The sequence below is a fragment of the Homo sapiens genome, chromosome X, assembly GCF_000001405.40.
Source record: "Homo sapiens chromosome X, GRCh38.p14 Primary Assembly".
NCBI lineage: Eukaryota > Metazoa > Chordata > Mammalia > Primates > Hominidae > Homo > Homo sapiens.
Window position 1 is genome coordinate 26205444 of NC_000023.11, and position 19687 is coordinate 26225130.

At 43.0% G+C, this 19687-nt stretch overlaps 1 protein-coding gene and 1 pseudogene across 1 annotated transcript; both read left to right on the top strand.

Moving 5' to 3' along the window:
• The first annotated feature begins 10725 nt into the window (after positions 1 to 10725).
• MAGEB5 (MAGE family member B5) lies at positions 10726 to 12827 on the top strand. The gene is made up of 2 exons (NM_001271752.1): positions 10726 to 10755; positions 11642 to 12827. The coding sequence occupies exon 2, from the start codon at positions 11859 to 11861 to the stop codon at positions 12684 to 12686; it is 828 nt and encodes a 275-aa protein (NP_001258681.1). The 5' UTR covers positions 10726 to 10755; positions 11642 to 11858; the 3' UTR covers positions 12687 to 12827.
• LOC100130052 (MAGE family member B3 pseudogene) lies at positions 18209 to 19165 on the top strand (annotated as a pseudogene).

Here is a 19687-nt window from a genome sequence, read left to right on the forward strand (position 1 = left end):
CGGCACTCTGTATCTAGCTCAAGGTTTGTAAAGACACCAATCAGCACCCTGTGTCTAGCTCAGGGTTTGTGAATGCACCAATCAACACTCTGTATCTAGCTACTCTGGTGGGGACTTGGAGAAGCTTTGTGTCCACAATCTGTATCTAGCTAATCCGGTGGGGACATGGAGAACCTTTGTGTCTAGCTCAGGGATTGTAAATGCACCAATCAGTGCCCTGTCAAAACAGACCACTCGGCTCTACCAATCAGCAGGATGTGGGTGGGGCCAGACAAGAGAATAAAAGCAGGCTGCCCGAGCCAGCAGTGGGAACCCACTTGGGTCCCCTTCCACAGTGTGGAAGCTTTGTTCTTTCGCTCTTTGCAATAAATCCTGCTGTTGCTCACTCTTTGGGTCCACACTGCCTTTATGAGCTGTAACACTCACCGCGAAGGTCTGCAGCTTCACTCCTGAGCCAGCGAGATCACGAACCCACCAGAAGGAAGAAACTCCAAACACATCCGAACATCAGAAGGAACAAACTCCGGACACGCCGCCTTTAAGAACTGTAACACTCACTGTGAGGGTCCGTGGCTTCATTCTTGAAGTCAGTGAGACCAAGAACCCACCAATTCCGGACACAATACCTACTGCCTTTCTATCTGGCTTTAAGCTACCAGAGGCTTGGCTGGCCCAGAATTGCAACAGGATTCTTAGCAGTTTCTGAGAACGCAGCAGAGGTCCCCTACTCCCTAAGGGCATCTGGCCCAAGGCAGAGCCCCTTCCTGATGTAGAGTGGGTTCTGCTTGTTTCAGGTGGCTTCCTCCACCTCAGTACTATTCCTTTTACCCATGGAATCATGGTGCCATAGGACTTCTAATTTAATGTTTTAGATTGGGCAGAGGGGAAAGGCACGTTCAGAGGCTATAGGATGTCTCTCTATCACTGTCAAGATTTGTCATGATTTCAACATAGAAATTGTGGCAGAAGGTAATTTCCCAGTGGATAGAGCCTTTCTTTTACTTTCCAACTCTCCTGAAAGTTCACCCTGAAATGCCAGTTCACACAAAGACAACAACTAATCTGGCTTCCTGTTTTAAAGAACAAGGCTGGGTGGCTGGGACTGCAGAAATCCAGTGGGACATGCAGAAATCCAGTGGGACATGAAGAAACCAGTAAGGAATAGATTTATGTGATAGCCCTCTTCCAGGGTGGGACAGTCTTCCACACAGGCCTGAGTCACCTTTAAGAAGTATTTGGTTTGGGAGGTGAACCAACCGTATATCTGTGGATTTTTACTTTGTTGTTGTTGTTGTTGAAGACAGGTTCTCTCTTCTGTCACCTAGGCTGGAGTGCAGTGGCTTGATCATGGCTCACTGCAGCTTCAATTTCCTGGGCTCAAGTGATCCTCCCACCTCAGACTCCCAAGCAGCTGGGACTACAGATGCACACCACCATGCCTAGATAATTTTAAAAAATATATATATATATATTTTTGCCCAGAAACCCGCATTTTATTGACAGTCATTTTCCCACAGAGAATCTTAGAAAGATGTCGCGTTTTCTTTTAATAAATGAGAGAAGCCCACTTGTATCCCTGAATCATTGAGAAAAGCAACAGATACAACTGACAGTCACACTTTTTAAAATCAAACAGTCACTACCTTCAGCCCACACCTCCACACCCGCATCTGCCTCCCCAATGGCTGTCAGTTCGGTAAAGTCACCCTCTCCTTCTACTCTGGTATTACCACGAGAATTGAAATTTTTAAGCAGAAAAAAAAAGAAGTCAAGTTACAAATAAATGAGTGGCGAACCAAGGGAAGCCCTTTGACTATGATTTCCAATTTTCTGTTCAATCCACACTGCAGAGTTCTTGAATAAAACTTGGGAACCAAAATGGTGGTTTATCCTTGTATCTCTAAAAAATATTTTTAATAGAGACGGGGTTTTGCCATATTCCCCAGGCTAGTCTTGAACTCCTGGGCTCAAGGGATCCTCCCAACTCCGCCTTCCAATGTGCTGGAATTACAGGTATAAGCCACACTGCCCAGCCATATTTCTACTTTTGAAATTATTCTAAGCTTCCAGAGCAATCTCGGGACATCATGATGAAAATTTTATTTATTTATGTGTTTTAGAAACGGTCTCTGTGGCCCAGGCTGGAGCACTGTGACAGGATTATGGCTCACTGCAGCATCGGACTCCTGGGCTCATGTAACCCTCCTGCCTTGGCCTTTCGAGTAGCTAGGACTACAGGTGGATGCCACCATGACCACCTAATTTTTATTTTTTATTTTCTATAGAGATGGGGTCTTTGTAGCCCCGTCTGGTCTTGAACTTCTGGTCTCAAACAATCCTCCCACCTCAGCCTACCAAAGTACTGAGATTACAGGTATAAGCCTCTGAGCCTGGCCTGAAAATTTTAAAAGGATATATCAACAAGGCAGTTTTCAGCACCAGGTAGGAGTAGCCAAAGACTACTTTAAAGAAATCAGACTAAGGATTTTTCCCAAATCTCTTGCTCAGCCTCTTAGGTTTAGAACCTCAGACTTATGCCTACTTCTATTCTCACTCCTTACCAATACCCTAAGTCAGCCTCACTTCCCCAGATGCACAAAGGAACACTCATTTTTCCGAAGGTATATGTCTTGGTTTGTCCTCCAGAAAAATATTCTCAGTTCATTGTTCTTTTCCTGAGTCCTGGGAAACCTGAAGCTGTCAGGTCAGCTTCACTCAAAATTCCCAGCATTCCAAATACCACGAGGTTTCTCTTTTACCAGAATTTCTGTTGGCACTAATTCTCCACAATATTGATTTTTGAGGGCTCACCTTAGAATTTCACAGGCCAACGGCCTCTAGTTCCTTAAACAAAGAACCATGAAGAAGGGTATCTGCTGGGGAGGAAAACAAGACAGACATACCAAGAGACCAGCTGTGAAAATGCTAATGTGCACAAAGGGGAAAGAGAGATATTGTACATGCATAAGATTTTGCATTCTGTGTAAGATTTTCATTTAAGATGATCCAAAGGCCTATGGGAGAAGGATTGGATAGAGAGAAAGTGACTTTTTGCACAAAAGGTTAACAAAGCATATTAAGTTAAAGTTTTCCAAAGAGCCCTTCAAGCAAATGTGAGAAACTAGAGTATAACCCGTTGCTTAGCCTCAAGCACCTCACCCAGTTTAAAAAGAGGGGAAATAAATAACCTATTTGCCTAGCTGCCTTCAAAGAATCTCAAGCATCAGTCACTTCTATACTTCATTGTATTAATCATAATAAGCAGTATTCAGAGGATCCTGCATTATGAGGGTCATTCCTGACTAATATGGTTTTAATGTGTTCCTCAAAAAGCATGTGTTGGAAACTTAATCCCCAATGCAACAGTGTTGGGAGATGGAGCTTAGGGGGAAGTAACTAGGCCATGAGGCTTTTGCTCTCATGAGTGGATAAATGCTGTTATTGCAGGAGTAGGTTCCAGTGGGCTCTTTATCATGGAAATGGTGTCCTTCTGTCACCTAGGCTGGATTGCAATGGCTTGATCATGGCTGACTGCAGCTTCGACTTCCCAAGTAGCTGGGACTAGAGGTGTGTGCTGCCACACTCGGCTAATTTTTTGTATTTTTAGTAGAGACAGGATTTCACCATGTTAGCCAGACTGGTCCTGAACTCCTGACCTCAGGTGATTCTCCCACCTCGGCCTCCCAAAGTGCCAGGATTACAGGTATCAGTCACCGCACCAAGCCTGTTTTCATTTTTAGATCCCACAAATAAGTGAGAACATGCCATGTTTCTCTTTCTATGCCTGCTTTATTTCACTTAACATAATGATCTTCAGTTCCATCCATGTGGTTGCAAATGACAGAATCTCATTCTTTACGTCTAATTGTTATAAACAACCCAATTATACTCTTTTAGTTTTTCTTAAATGTACAATTAAGGTACTATTGACCATATTCACCTTGTTGCACTAGCAAATATGGCTTATTCATTATTTTTAACTAATTTTGTTCCCATTAAGCATCCCAACCTTCCTCCCACTCCCCTTTCCTGTCCGTGGTAACCATGCTTCTACTCTCTATCTCCATAAGTTCAATTGTTTTCATTTTTATTTATTTTTGTTTTTAGTTTTTTGAGACAGAGTCTCACTCTCACCCAGGCTGGAGTACAGTGGCACAATCTTGGCTCACTGCAACCTCCGCCTCCCATGTTCAAGCGATTTTCCTGCCTCAGCCTCCCGAGTAGCTGGAATTACAGGCGTGCACCACCACGCCCAGCTAATTTTTTGTATTTTTAGTAGAGACACAGTTTCACCATGTTCACCAGGCTGGTCTTGAACTCCTGACCTCAGGTGATCCACCCATTTTGGCATCTCCAAGTCCCAGGATTACAGCCATGAGCCACTCACCTGGCCTGTTTTAATTTTTAGATCCCACAAATAAGTGAGAACACGCCATGTTTCTCTTTCTGTGCCTGCTTTATTTCACTTAACATAATGATCTCCAGTTCCATCCATGTGGTTGTAAATGACAGGATCTCATTCTTTCTTAATGTCTGAATAGTGCACCACTGTGTATATGTAACACATTTTCTTTGTTCATTCATCTGTTGATGGAAACTTAGGTTGCTTCCTAATCTTAGATATCGTAAACAGTGCTGCAACAAAGGTAGGAGTTCAGCTACATCTTCAATAAATTGATTTCCTTTCTTTTAGGTGTACACCCAGCAGTGGGATTGTTGGCTCATATGGTAGCTGAATTTTTAGTATTTGTGAGGAAACTCCAAACTGTTCTCCATGGTGGTTGTACTAATTTACATTGCTACCAAGAGTGTGCGAGCCTTCCCTTTTCCCCACATCCTCCCCAGCATTTAATACCTGTCTTTTATATATAAGCCATTTTAACTGGGGTGAGATGATATCTCATTCTAGTTTTGATTTGCATTTCTCTGTTTATCAGTGATGCTGAGCACCTTCTCATATGCCTGCTTGCAATTAGCCTGTCTTCCTTTGAGAAATGTCTGTTCAAATCTTTTACCCATTTTTTTAAATGGGATTATTAGATTTTTTCCTACAGAGATGTTTGAGCTCCTTATATATTCTGTTTATTATTTGCTTGTCAGATGGGTAGTTTGAGTATACTTTCTCCAATTCTGTGGATTGTCTCTTCACTTTTAAATATTTCATTTTCTGTGCAGAAGCTTTTCAACTTGATGTAATCCTATTTTTCCATTTTTTTTTTTTTTTTGCTTTGCTTACCTGTGCTAATGGGGAATTATGCAAGAAATTTGTGCCCAGACCAATGTCCCGGAGAGTTTTCCCCATGTTTACTTGTAGTAGATTCATAGTTGGAGGTCTTTCATTTAAGTCTTTCATCCATTTAAATTTGACTTTTGTATATGATGAGAGGTAGTGTTCTAGTTTCGTTCTTTTGCATAGATATCTAGTTTACCCACAACCATCTATTGAAGAGACATGAACTTTTAATGTCATTGTCTGCTTATGTTATCTATGTCATTTCTCAATGAATTTTAATCCATTGATTTTTAAAATCTATTTTTTATTGACAGATAATAATTGTGCATATTTATGGGATACAATATGATGTTTTGATCTATATATTCTCCCTAGTGGACATATTCTCCATTTTCTTTGCGTGTCGGGCAATTAGATTGTATGCCAAGTATTGTGAATTTGGCCTCGCTCACATTTGTACAGCATAAGTGTGCTGGATATTTATTTTTTAAATAGATTCATATTCTTATACTTTGTTCTGTGACTCAGTTAAGTTTGTTCAAAATGCTATGATCCTGATAATTCTTGCTTTTAAAGTTTCTTAGGTGTGACCAGAGCTTCATAAATCTAGGACTAATCTCGCATCACTACAGAGATTAACCCCTTCTGAGTACTCTCCCTCTCTCTCTCTAGTCTGTCTCTCTCATGTTCTGGGCATGACATGATTTTACATTGGCTGCGAGAACAGGAACCCCCTAGGTAGGCTGGAATTCTCTCTCTGTGAAACTTTTTCCTCACAGATACTTTGTGCTAGGAACTCTAGACATCGGATCCTCCTCTCACCGTCAGCTTCATCTCCTCAACAACAGAAGATGGCCAGGTTTCAAATGAGCTACCCCTCCCTGCACTGCAGGCTCAAGGCAGCAAGCTGGGGAAGTTACAGGCTCACCTTCTTTTCAGTCTCACAGGAATCACTGTCTTTTGTTGCCGGATGTCCACTATATTAAAAATTGACATAGATATGTTGTCATTTTTATCTATTTTTTAAAGTTGTTTTAGGTATGTTGTTAAATCTATCCCTTTTAATTATTCTTTTCCAGAAGTATAAGTAGTATAACCCAAATTTAAAACCTAAATTATTATGGCACGTGAATGTCCCCAAACTGCAAGCTAATCAACAGTTGAAGAACATTAGAGCAAAAACTTGAGTACAGAGATTGTGGGCCACACACACTCATACCTACATACACGTAATAAGTATGTATGTTTGTGTGTGTACCTATATGTTTATATAGATGGATTAACATATAAGTAGGAGAGTATAAACCAGCAGTTTATACTTCACTGTGACAGGGCAGCACCAAATTTAATGTAAAATCCTCCAGTCACTGCGTTCTCTCCCCACAGTGCACAGATTCTCTCTCTGCACTGCATGGCTACTGTGGGGAAGGGTGGGGGGTGGAAGAGGCTGGGTGAGGGGTAACAGTGTTTCAAGACTCTCTCTTCTGCTTTCCTCAATGCCCCTTTCAGTGATAGGAATTTAAAACCAGGTATTGTGATTGCTCACCTGATTTTTGGTTCCAGAGTATAAACTGCTATAAACTAGTTTATACTCTGGAATAACTGTTATAAAGGAATATCAACAATGTTCCTTTTCTGATCATGTAAATTTGTGATTAATTATTTAAGCTTTCAAGATTTTCCAAAAGAGATGAAACATAGACTTTATTATAAAATGCTATAAATATTCAAAATATGATATAGATACCTGTACTAGTAAGAGTTATCCAGAGAAACAGAACCAATAGGAGGTAGATAGATAGATAGATAGATAGATAGATAGATAGATAGATAGATAAATGGATAGACAGATATTCTATTTGCTGGTTGGGTATTTGAGGTGATTAGGTCATGAGGGCAGAACCTTCGTGATTGGAATTGGTGCTCTTATAAAAGCAATCCCAGAGCGCTTCTTTATCCCTTCTTTCATGTGAGGAGACAGTGAGAAGATGGCCATCTATGAACAAGGAAGCACGCCTTCACCAGAAACCAAATCTGCCAGTGCCTCCATTTTGTACTTCCCAGCCTCCAGAACTGTGGTAAATAATTATCTATTGTTTAAAACCACCCTATGGTATACCTATGGTATTCTGTTATAGCCGCCAAAATTTATTAAAATAAATATAAATATATATATATGGAAAACATATATAGAGATGACACAGATATAGGTAATATAGATGTAGATATATCAATAGACAGGGAAAGATCTTCAACATTTTATTTTTAGTACAGAATAAGGTAACCTGGCATTGGAATAGGGATTTTCATGGAAATGTGAAAGAACCCCACAGCAAAATAGTTGAGATCACAAAATAGTGAAACAAAAGTAGAGTAGTTAATTTGTTTTTTTTCCTAATCTTTTTGCTTATTGCTTGTAATATTAAATTATATAAACCTGTATTTGCTTTGCTTATTCAAACTGCATGAGAAAATAAATAACAAATTAGATTTCCTGCTTATTGTTTTCATTATTTTTTAATTATTATTTCCCAACCCGTAATCGAGTACCTGCTGTTTGGAAGGCTCCCTGATAGTACTGGTGATGGTAAGCAAAAGGAGATCCAACTTCTGCCTGTCGAATTTGAGAGTCAAGCAGCAACTAACATATAAGGAAGATGATGAGGTACCATCTCTAAGACACAAATGACAAGTAAAAAGAGGGGATAAGGAAGAGAAGATTTCACATTAATGTAGTCAAATGTAAATTATCTGATGAAGGCAGTTCAGAGTCTTAGAAAACTGCAAGTCTCTCCATGGGAGTTAATTTAAATGAAGCTGCAGGTTGGGCTTGATGAGGCTGTGGGAGTGGTGAGCATGGGCCAGGCCTTCAGATGGTGCCTCTCAGAGTTGAGACGCTGTCCCTGAAATGGGAAGCAAGTCTTTTTTTTTTTTTTTTTTTTTTTTTGAGACGGAGTCTGGCTCTGTTGCCCAGGCTGGAGTGCAGTGGTGCAATCTCGGCTCACTGCAAGCTCCACCTCCCCAGTTCACGCCATTCTCCTGCCTCAGCCTCCCGAGTAGCTGGGACTACAGGCGCCCGCCACCACACCTGGCTAATTTTTTGTATTTTTAGTAGAGACGGGGTTTCACCGTGTTAGCCAGGATGGTCTCAATCTCCTGACCTCATGATCCGCCCACCTTGGCCTCCCAAAGTGCTGGGATTACAGGCGTGAGCCACCGCGCCCGGCCCGGAAGCAAGTCTTAAAAGTTATTTTGACATAGTATATATACAAGAAAGAAATCCCCAACTGGGATAGGAAGGCAAAGAGACCTGTGCAGTTGCCCCACTTCACAAACTGTGTCTTCTGGGCACATGATATCCAGGGAGTATCTGAGCAATATGAGTGATACTTTCTTTACACAAAATGCCAAGAAGCCACTGAACCATCACCCCTATCATAGGCTGGGAGAGCGAGAGTCTGCTCCATTAAAAAGACATTTGAATTAGGTTACTTTGAGTATAATTTGTCAAACTCTAAGGGAGGGTTTGGTTTTTGGTGGTGATGAAGTGAATGAAAATAGGGGCGGTTTGGATGGAAAAGTGACCGGGGAAGTTTTCGGTCCCTAACACGAAACAAGAACTTTGAGTTGCCTCCAGCTAAAGGAGACAACTCCACAGCCAAATAACAGATGCTTTAATGAGGAAACACTACTCAATTTTACTGGCTGGGCAGCATTTCAGCAGATGTGGATTTCTATGTTATTTGGAGTATTCTCTAACATATTCTGCAAATAAAATTCTGTAAGGGAAGATTGTCATCATCTTGGGTCAAACTAAGTTTAGTAATAATTACCATTCATTAAAGACCCAAAGTTTACCTAACACTGTGTCAGGTGATTTACATAGAATATATATATATATATTTGATAAGATGGGGTTTATCAAATTGACTTTGCAGGTTAAAAACTTGCAATTTTCTCAAGTTCACAAGACTGGCAAGTGACAGAATTAGACTAGACCCTGGCTCTGAATTTATCTAGAGTCCACAGCTGTCCCACTTCTTCCAGCCTCAGGCAGACCTTGTGTTACTTATTTTCTACTCACTACTTCAAAATATATCTCAGGTGATACAAAGCAAGACTTCAAACCCCAAATACTGTTTTGGAATACACAGCCCAAGGAATAAGCAACGAAAATACCAAAATAAATGCAAGTTGTGAATAAAGAAAGAGATATGTGTTGGCAATATCATTATCTGCAAAGTCAATGTCAGAAACCTCAAAAGACTAGGGACTCACAAAATCATTTGGCTCAGCCTCTTCGCTGTAGCAAGTAGATATATTTGAACAGAAGTTACATAAGAAGCTAAGTCTGCCTAGTGACAAGAAGGTATGTATCAGCAATGGTTTTCTTTTTTTTTTTTTTTCTCTCTGAAAGCACACCTGTCCAGAGCTTTCTGCTTTGTGCTTCAGATTTCCCATCTCACATCATTCTTAGGACACATCCTATTCTCTGCAACGTTTGCAGAGGGAAAACTAATGAAGAGTTTGGAATGATGTGGCATTTCTCCAGAAGCCTCTCATAGAAAGTGTAGAAACCAAAATGAAGACTCTGACGAATGAGAAGTAAAGAAACAAGCACCCCATAGTAAATGGAGTAACAGAGATCAGACTGTGTCTGCTTTTAGACCTGGAAGACTGAAGCAGGACTGTTAGGCTATTTCTCACTTATTGTTCAGTGTTCTCAGGAACATAAGAGCCTTAGTCTACATGAGTGACCTAAAGTTGAAAGAAGAAACTCAAGTCCTGTAAAGAGTCAAGGTGAGGACCCTGAGTAAGGACTGAGGGCAGACCTCTACCCTCCACAGAGATAGCCCCAAGGAGCCTGAATCTTGATGTCATCCCTGGGAGGGCACAGACAGGTGGCATTTCCTGTTTTCATTCTGGGACCTCAAGGAGTGGGAACCTCGTTCTAAGGTTTTGAGACTTAGACAGTAGAGGGAAATGTTCCATGCCCTGCCAGGAATCAAATGCATGAGTGATGACTGAGGGGACCACAGACCCTATAGTAGGGAGGTGGCACAGGACCTCCCCCTGCCATCAACCCTGAGAGGCCTTGGGCAGGGCTGTCAGGCTGACTTCTGCAAGAAGGGTTTCAGAGATATGAGGGCTTAGTCTGAGGGGAGGGTCCTCAAGTCAACAAAAAGTCCAAGGCCCTGCCATGAGTTAAGGTGATGGTCCCTAGTTAGGACTTAGGAAACCCTCTACCCTCAGAACTAAGAGAACCACACGGAGCCCCACCCTTACTGGCAGCCCTGGAATACATGGGCATTGTTGACATGATGTGACATACTTCCTCGTATGATGTCACAAGGAAGTAAGGAAGTTGGTCTGATTGTGAGTTAAGGTCAGCAGCTAGAGGATTTCCAGGTTTCTCCAGAGGCCACAGTAAGTACGTTAATAACTGAGGGGACCACATACACTATGAGTGGGAACACCACAGAATTCAACTGTTACTCTCAGCCTTGGGACAACGAGGACAGGTAAGAACAAATGAGAACAGGTGAGAAGACCCTCACGTTCCCCATAGGGCATGTTTCAGGGTTGTTTTGTCTTTAGTATGAGGGGATAAGCATTAGGAAGGGAAGGAGAAGTTCCACACCCTACCAGAGGTCAAAGCAAGTGCTAAAGGAACAATCTACCACTAAATAGAAGAGTTAAAAAAGAATCTGGCCCTACCCTGGTTTCAGTACTTGAAGGGCCAGGGCAGGGTTGTGAAGTTGAAGCTCTCCACCACCTCTTTATGTCAGGTCTATGGGAGGTGAGATCCTTAGTCTGAAGGTGCAGTAGTCACCATTCAAATGAAGGGAGTTGGGCTCCTAGGCCCTATATGCCAATGTAAGGACCCCAAGTGAGGACTGAGGATCCCAGAAAGGCCAGGACAGAAAATAATCTACTCAGCAGTCAGCACCGTGGGCACTCAGACAGCAGTGATAAGCTGAGGACCCCCTTCACATCCTTCTTATGGGTCCCAGGGAGGTTTGTAATATAACTTCAGAGGAAATGGTTCTCATGACCTGCCACCAGTTGGCATGATTGTCTTGAATGTGAAGTAAAAGGACCCCTCAACTCAGAAGACTGGCAGCCACTATGTCACCTTAATATGCCTGAGGCAGGGCTGCCAGGCTAAAGCCTATGGTTCCGTCTAACTTCCTCCAAAGGTTTCCCAAGGGGCACATTGATCAGGAGAACAGAATCCCAGTGGGTTCCTAGAGCAGTTCCGTCATGGAAAACTGCAAATGTTGTTTTTATTATAACCATGGTAGAATTTCCACGTTGAAGGTGCACAGACCCTCTCAATCTTCCTCCTCCAGTGGGCTCTCTTGACCCGTTCTCCTACTCATTCTCCTGCCTGCTGTCCTTTATCAGAGTCAACATGTCTCAGGATCAGAACAGTAAGCTCCACACTTGTGAGAAACACTACCAGATCCAAGATGACTCTCTGCTTCAGAGTGGAGCTCAGGCCAGTGAATAAGTGGAAGATGATCCCCTCCCCACTTCCTCTCCTATTCTTGGGGATATTCCCCAGAGCTCATCTGCTGCTGAGTCAAGTGGCACTTCCCAGGAGCCTTGCGAATCCAGCACCATGACTTCTGCAGGTGTTTTTAATGCAGGATCTGACGAAAGGGCTAACAGTAGAGATGAGGAGTACCCATGTTCCTCAGAGGTCTCACCCTCCACTGAGAGTTCATGCAGCAATTTCATAAATATTAAGGTGGGTTTGTTGGAGCAGTTCCTGCTCTACAAGTTCAAAATGAAACAGCGTATTTTGAAGGAAGATATGCTGAAGATTGTCAACCCAAGATACCAAAACCAGTTTGCTGAGATTCACAGAAGAGCTTCTGAGCACATTGAGGTTGTCTTTGCAGTTGACTTGAAGGAAGTCAACCCAACTTGTCACTTATATGACCTTGTCAGCAAGCTGAAACTCCCCAACAATGGGAGGATTCATGTTGGCAAAGTGTTACCCAAGACTGGTCTCCTCATGACTTTCCTGGTTGTGATCTTCCTGAAAGGCAACTGTGCCAACAAGGAAGATACCTGGAAATTTCTGGATATGATGCAAATATATGATGGGAAGAAGTACTACATCTATGGAGAGCCCAGGAAGCTCATCACTCAGGATTTCGTGAGGCTAACGTACCTGGAGTACCACCAGGTGCCCTGCAGTTATCCTGCACACTATCAATTCCTTTGGGGTCCAAGAGCCTATACTGAAACCAGCAAGATGAAAGTCCTGGAATATTTGGCCAAGGTCAATGATATTGCTCCAGGTGCCTTCTCATCACAATATGAAGAGGCTTTGCAAGATGAGGAAGAGAGCCCAAGCCAGAGATGCAGCCGAAACTGGCACTACTGCAGTGGCCAAGACTGTCTCAGGGCGAAGTTCAGCAGCTTCTCTCAACCCTATTGAAGTCTGAAGCTTTTTTCATCCAGTCAAGCAAATATAACATCACCAAAAGGGATTTTTTTTGGAAATACAAAAGAACCCCCAGTAAAATAATTGAGATAATGAAATAGAAAAAAATAATAAAACATGATCTTGGTTTTCTTCATTCCTTTCAGTCTTTTGTTTTATAAAATTAAATTAAAATTTATACCTTGATATGTTTAGCTTAACAATGTAGGATAAATTAAATTTAATAAGTTAGATCTCTTGCTCACTCTCTCTCATATTCCCCAAACATCATTTGAGTACCTGCTTTTTGGAAGGCTCTGTAACAGTACCGGAGCTGCTCAGATAAAGGCCCAGCTTCTGCCCATAGAATCTTTGAGGCTAAAAGCTGCAGTCATATAAAGTAAATGTTGAGCCACCCTCTATGACTTACAGGAAAGTAGAAAGGATCGATGAGAAGGGGGCATTCCAGTTGAGAGCAGTAAAGCATAAATTTCATGAGGCAAGACAGTTTGAGTTTTAGGAAACTGAAAGTCAATGTGTTGTAATTTTTAAATTAATTGCATGGGGGTGCTAGATGAGGCTATGAAATTGGTAAACAGAGGTCAGAACCCTCAGATGATGCATTTCAAAGTTGAGAGAGAAAACCCTTTAATGGAAAACTGAACTATAGTGTAAAGCCCAAAATTAAGGCCTAATACTATATACTGCCAGGCAGGCTAAGAGCTCCCCTTCTAATGCTGCTTGCCTAAGACAGGGTCCCATAGCTGTAGTGTATCCCTTATCTTTTTTCCTATCTATTGGAAGAGGGGGCTCAGGCAAAACCTCTGTCTCCTCTTTGTTATTTTGGCCCGATGATAGTGGGGCTGAGGGATAAGGAGGCAGTAAGGTAGGTGATGGTTCCTCTTCCCTCCCCTTTTTAGGCTCTTCTGTGTATAACGGGACCAAAGCCACCCTAACTAAAGCCCATAATGTTAAAGATGTTACTGGGACCCGTTGCCCTTGCACATGATGCTGTTTAAGATTTCTCCCACTTGTTCCCAGAGCTCTACATCTAGCATACCTTCTTCTGGGAACCATGGGTTATGAGATACAACAGTTTGCATTAGGTCCCTTAATTGAGCCTGTGAAACCAAGCCTCCACTAGCTTTAAGCAGCTGTTTCAATACTTTTATATACTGTTTCTTTTGAGCTGATAACTGTTGTCCCATGATGAAACCCTAGCCTGAACAATTCCCTCGAACTTGGAAATCCTGAGCAGGCACCGATGACTTACTGATTTACTGACTTACTGACTGCACAGTCTCCTTACCTTTGTTTTGGAGGGTTCCTTCATGATTTGTTGCAGCATTCCTCTCACAGGGCACCACCTGCCGGGGTCTGACCCGCAGACCATGGCCAAATGATGGATGAAAGAATGCACTCAGACACAGACATCCAGTGAAAGAGTGGGCTAGGGGACCGGCCACGCACAGACCCCACGGAGGGTGCTGTAAAGAGTCAGCAGCTGCAGCTGCTGGTGCTGCAGGCATTTATTCAGCACAGATTTAATGAGAAAGGCTTTGAGACAACACACTTGTGGATAATTAACATGGTGGCCCCTCTGGAGAGAGCAGTCCTGCACATGGATGATTAAAGGCCAGGTTCCGAGGCCTAAGTAAATTAACTTATCTAGATCAGTTTCTTTACATCCCCTTGTTATCTAACCTAAGCTCTTAAGAGAACTCAGCTGCCTTCAGCCAAATTTTCTTTGGAAGCTTTGCAAACCCCTGGCTTTCCAAGAAGGTTTGCATCTTTCTACAATTTTTCCCACCACCCTGACTGATCTCCTACAATATATTGCCTTCGATTTTTCAAATGACCTAACTAGAAATTCCTCTCTACACTATGCACTTGCAGATTAAGTCCCTTAGCCAAACAACTGTCTTTACTAAGAGAACCAGGCACAGATCTTGTTTTCTTTCCCTGACAGCCTTCAGAATTATTCACACAAGCCAATCACGTCTTCCCATGAGAACTAGAGGTCACCTCTCCCTCTTGATCTACAAATCATGCCTCCCAGAGACCTTATTCATTCACTCTGTTCCTGAGTACAACCCTTGTGTGACCCTGTGTGGTATGTGGTATACTGCTACCCTGGGCTGTGAGTATATGTGATTAATAAACTGCTGTTGACCTCATCTGTACAGTGCCCAGTATCATGTGTTTGAATACCACATAACCATAATATGGAAATTCCTTCCTCACCAATAAACAGGACACCACTAAAGCATGCTTTTATGAATTACTTTGAGATCATAGATAATCCAGAAAGAAATCTTTACATTTAGACTAGTGGCTTACACAACAGAAGTTTATTTTCTCACAGTTCTGGAGGCTGTAAGTCCAAGATCAAGGTGCCAGCAGGGTTGGTTTCCTCTGAGGCCTCTCTCAGCTTGCAGAAGGCTGCCCTCTTGCAGCCTCTTCACATTGTTGTCCTTTTGTGTGTGTGCATCCCCGGTGTTTCCTAGTGTGTCCTAACCTCTTCTTTTCAGGACTCCAGTCAGATTTTATAAAAGTACTCTAATGGCCTCATTTTAACTAATCACCTGTTTAAAGACCTTATCTCCAAATAGAGTCACATTCTGAGGTACTGGGGGTTAGGACTTGAGCCTGTGAATTTGAGGTTGGGGGCAAAATTAATTTCATAATAGACAGGAATTAGAGATACATTTGCTCTTATCTCAGTACAGTAGAACACAATGCACAAGCTACGTTTTCTATGCAAATTGTCTCCAGGGAGTTTCCCTAAATTAAGAGTGAGATGCACGAAAGCCACTGTGTTGGCTTTTTTTTTTCTTTTTACCTAGAATTGGAAGAAAGAACTAGATCCTACTAGGAAAAGACATTCTAATGAGATTATCCTGAGTGTAATTTGGCAGATTCTAAGGGAGGGCTAGATTTTGGTGGGGAAGAAATGAATGAAAATATACGGGGTTTGGATGGAAGTGTAGCTGGGATGCACTGAAGGAGTTAGTCCTTAACAAAATTCTAGAAGATTTGAATTGTATCCAGATGGGGAAGAACCCCCAACATCCAAATTAAATAATGGATTCCCTAGTGGGGAAAATCTAATTTTACTTGCTACAGCAAATTTTTGGATGATTTGGTGTTGTTTGAGAGCATTGCATTTTCTCTGACATATCCTGGATTTTTAAAAAATCTCAGATAAGAAGATAATCATAAATAATCATAAATAAATGTCATTTATTAAACACCTAACATTTGCCAGTGACTGTGAAAGATTAAGTCTTAGTGATGAAGAGAATTAGATTAGTGTGTGTTTTCTGACAGCCACCTCCTATCCCAGGACCTCTGCCTCGTTCTTCAGCTTCCCCATTTCACATCACTCCACTTGGACACAGACCTATTCTGCTCAAGATTTTTCAGGAGTGTGGCATTTCCCAGGAAGCTTTTCATTAAAGAGACAGGAGCCAAGGATGTCAGGGCCTTGCTGCAAAGGGCTCTCATTGAAGTAAGGCTCTAAGAGAAGTCAAATTGGGAATCCTCTGTGAGACTGAGGGAACTACCCACTCCAGAACAGAGAAGGCACCACAGATGTCACCCCTGCAGTCAGCCTTGAGAACACTTTCACTGGGAATATGGGTAGGACTCACTTCCACCCGAGGGTCACAGAAAGGTGAGGGACGTGGCCTAAGGCAGGCCACCTTAGCACACGTGCAAGCTAGCGAGGGGTCTTAGGCTCAGGCAGAAGTCAAGGTGAGAATACCTAATGAGAGTAAGAGAACCACCCACCTCAGAAGCATGCCCCGGGCCTTCTCCCCCAAAAAGCCTGACCCCTGTTCTCAGTCTTGGGAGGCACTGAACAGAGTAGACAGGATGAGATGTGTGCTCACTTCTGCCTCTAGGGCCTCGGGGAGGTGAGGGTCTTAGTAAAAGTACGTGAACCCAGAGCAGCTGAGGGAGAAGGAGCAAACCCTAGCAGCAGTCAAGGTGAGGAAGGTTAGGTGGAGAATCCCATCAAGCTCTTGTTTGCAGCTCCCTGAGTGCCCGAACATGGATGTCAAGTATATGTGAGCTCTCCTTTCCTACTTGATGATACCGGGAGCTGAGGTCCTTGGCCTGGAGTGGGCAGGGGACAGAGGGCTAAGGTCAGCAAAGGAAGGAGTACCATGCCTTTCAGGGAATCAACAGCAGAAGCCTGCGTGATTTCTGAGGGACCACTGATCTCAGAAGAGTACCGTAGCACAAAGCCTGCTCCTGCCATCAAACTTAGGAAGCCCTGGGCCAGGCTGACTTCTTCAAGGGGGTCTCAGAGATGTGAGGGCCTTGGTCTAAGGGAAGAGTACTCAAGTCAGCAAAGAAAAGCAGCCAAGGTGCAGCCAGGAATCAAAGTAAGTGCCCTACATGAGGACTGAAGGAACCCCTGCTCTACTGGCACCCTGGGATGCCTGTGCACTGATTACATGACTTGCACTCATTTCCTGCTGTGGTATGGGGGCGTTTATTGGTAATGATGGTGAGGGATTTTGTCTAAAGTAGATGGCCTGAGGTCTGCAGTAGGAGGATTTCCAGGTATTACTAGGAATTAAGGTGAAGACATGGTGTCGGAGGGGAACACCAAATTCATCCCCTATTCTCAGCCTTGGAAGACCACAGGCAGGTGAGGTGGTACCCATATCTTACTAGAGAGTCTCAGGAGAATCTGGTGGGAATAGAGAAGCCCTGGGCCATGCCAAGAGACAAAGGAAGGGTTGGGAGGACCACCCACCATTGAATAGATAACAAAGCATCTGTGCCCCACCCTTGCACTCAGTACTTAAAGGACCAGGGCAGGACTATCAGGCTGAGGCTCCTCCCCACTTCTTTATATATATAAAATCTAAGGCAGATGAAATCTTTGGTGTATGATTGTAGCCACCAGTCAGCAAAAGGGAAGTCTTCCAGGAACTACCTAGAGATCAGGTGGATTCCTAGAATGAGAACTGAAGACCCAAGCATCTCATGACAGAGAGACCTCCATATAGCTCCCAGTTGGGTGCCCTCTGACAGAGATGGTGGACTGAGATCCTCCTTCACTTTATCGTCTGGGGTCTCAGGGAGGTGCTGGCTTTGGTTTGAGGTGTCAACTTCAGAGCAGCAGAAGGGAGGGGAACCAGGGCCTGCCAACAATTGATATGATGATTACGATTATGAACTTAGACCCCCACACTCCATAACAGAGAACCCCCATTACCAGCCCCTGCCACCATCTCAGTACACCTAAGGCAGGGTTGGCAGGCTGCAGCCTAAAACTCACTCTAACTTTATCCACAGGGTTCTCAGTGGAGAGGCTGACCAGGAGAACAGGAGCTCCATGGGTTCCTAAAGCAGTGCTCTTGGAAACCTGTGGCTGTGGCCTTTGTTAAAGCCATGGTAGTCTCTCCCTGCTGCTGGTGCTCACACCATCTCATTCTCCCTCCTTCAGGTGCCCACATTGCCAGCCATCCTGTCCACACTTTTTCCTACTCTGCCTAACCAGAGTCATCATGTCTTGGTATCAGAAAAGTAAGTTCCATGTCCATAAGAAATGTCACCAGACTCAAAGTAAGACTCGGGGTAATGGGGGTACTCAGGCAATAGTAGTGGCAGCAGAAGAGTCTCCTCCCTCCTCACCTCTTCTTTGTGGAGGTGTTACTGAGAGCCTACCTACTGCTGGGTCATGTAGCACTTTGAAGGAGCCTCAGAAAGCCTCATCCACCACTACTTAAATAGGCATTTTTTGCACTAGATCTGATAAATTTCCCAATGGCCAAGATAAGGAAAAGAAAAGCACGGCTGAGGCCCCACCTTCCAGTAAGAACTCATGCAGAGACCCTCAAACCAGGAAAGCTGGGTTGTTGGAGCAGTTCCTGCTCTACAAGTATAAAATGAAACAGCCCATTACAAAGGAAGATATGCTGAAGGTTGTCAACTAAAAATACCGAAATCAGTATGCTGAGATCCTCAGAAGAACTTCTGAGTGCATTAAGGTTGCCTTTACGTTAATATGAAGGAAGTCAATTCAACCCATCACTCATATGACCTTGTTATGACCTTGTAAAGCTAAAAGTTCCCAACAATGGGAGGGTGTTTGGTGGCAGGGGGTTACCCAAGACTGGTCTCCTGATAAATCTTCTGAGTGTGATCTTCATAAAGAGCAACTGTGCCATTGGGGAAGACATCTGGAAATTCCTAGATATGATGTGAACATATGCTGGGAGGAAGCACTACACTATGGAGAGCTCAAGAAGCTCATCACTCAGGATTTGATGAGGCTAAAAAGTACCTGGAGTACTGCTCAACAGTGATCCTGCACGCTATGAATTCCTTTGGGATTTAAGAGCACATCTTGAAACCAGTAAGATGAAAGTCCTGAAGTTTTGGCAAAGGTCAGTGATACTGTCCCTAGTGTCTCCACATCCCATTATGAAGAGGCTTTGTGAGATGAGGAAGAGAGAGCCCAAGCCATAGATGCAGCCATGCCTGGCGCTACTGCCAAAGCTAGTGCAGTTTCCAGAGCCATATGTCCAGCATATCTTCCTACCTCTACTGAGGACTGAGGACTTTTGATCATTCAGATAAGAAGATACGACACCACAGGAAAGATTTTCTTGAAAATTTGAAATAATCACACAGTAAAATAAGTAGGGTAATACAATGGAGAAAAAAATAAAACACGATTAATCCTTGTTTTCTCTGATTTTTCTTAATCTTTAGTTCTGTAAAATTAACTCATTTGTACTTTGCTTCTCTTAGCTTATTCAATAAAGTGGAACAAAAAATCTTAATAAATTAGGAATTAGACCTTGTGTTCACTGGCTCTTCTAGTGACCAAACATTAATTGAGCATCTGCTCTCCAGAAGGCTCTGTGCTAATACTGGAGATGCTCAGATAAATACCCACTCCCTGCTTATAGAAGTTTTGAGCCTATGAGCTACGATCATTTAACTGCCCTTTATGACCTATAGTTAAATTAAAAATAATGAGTGAGGATGAG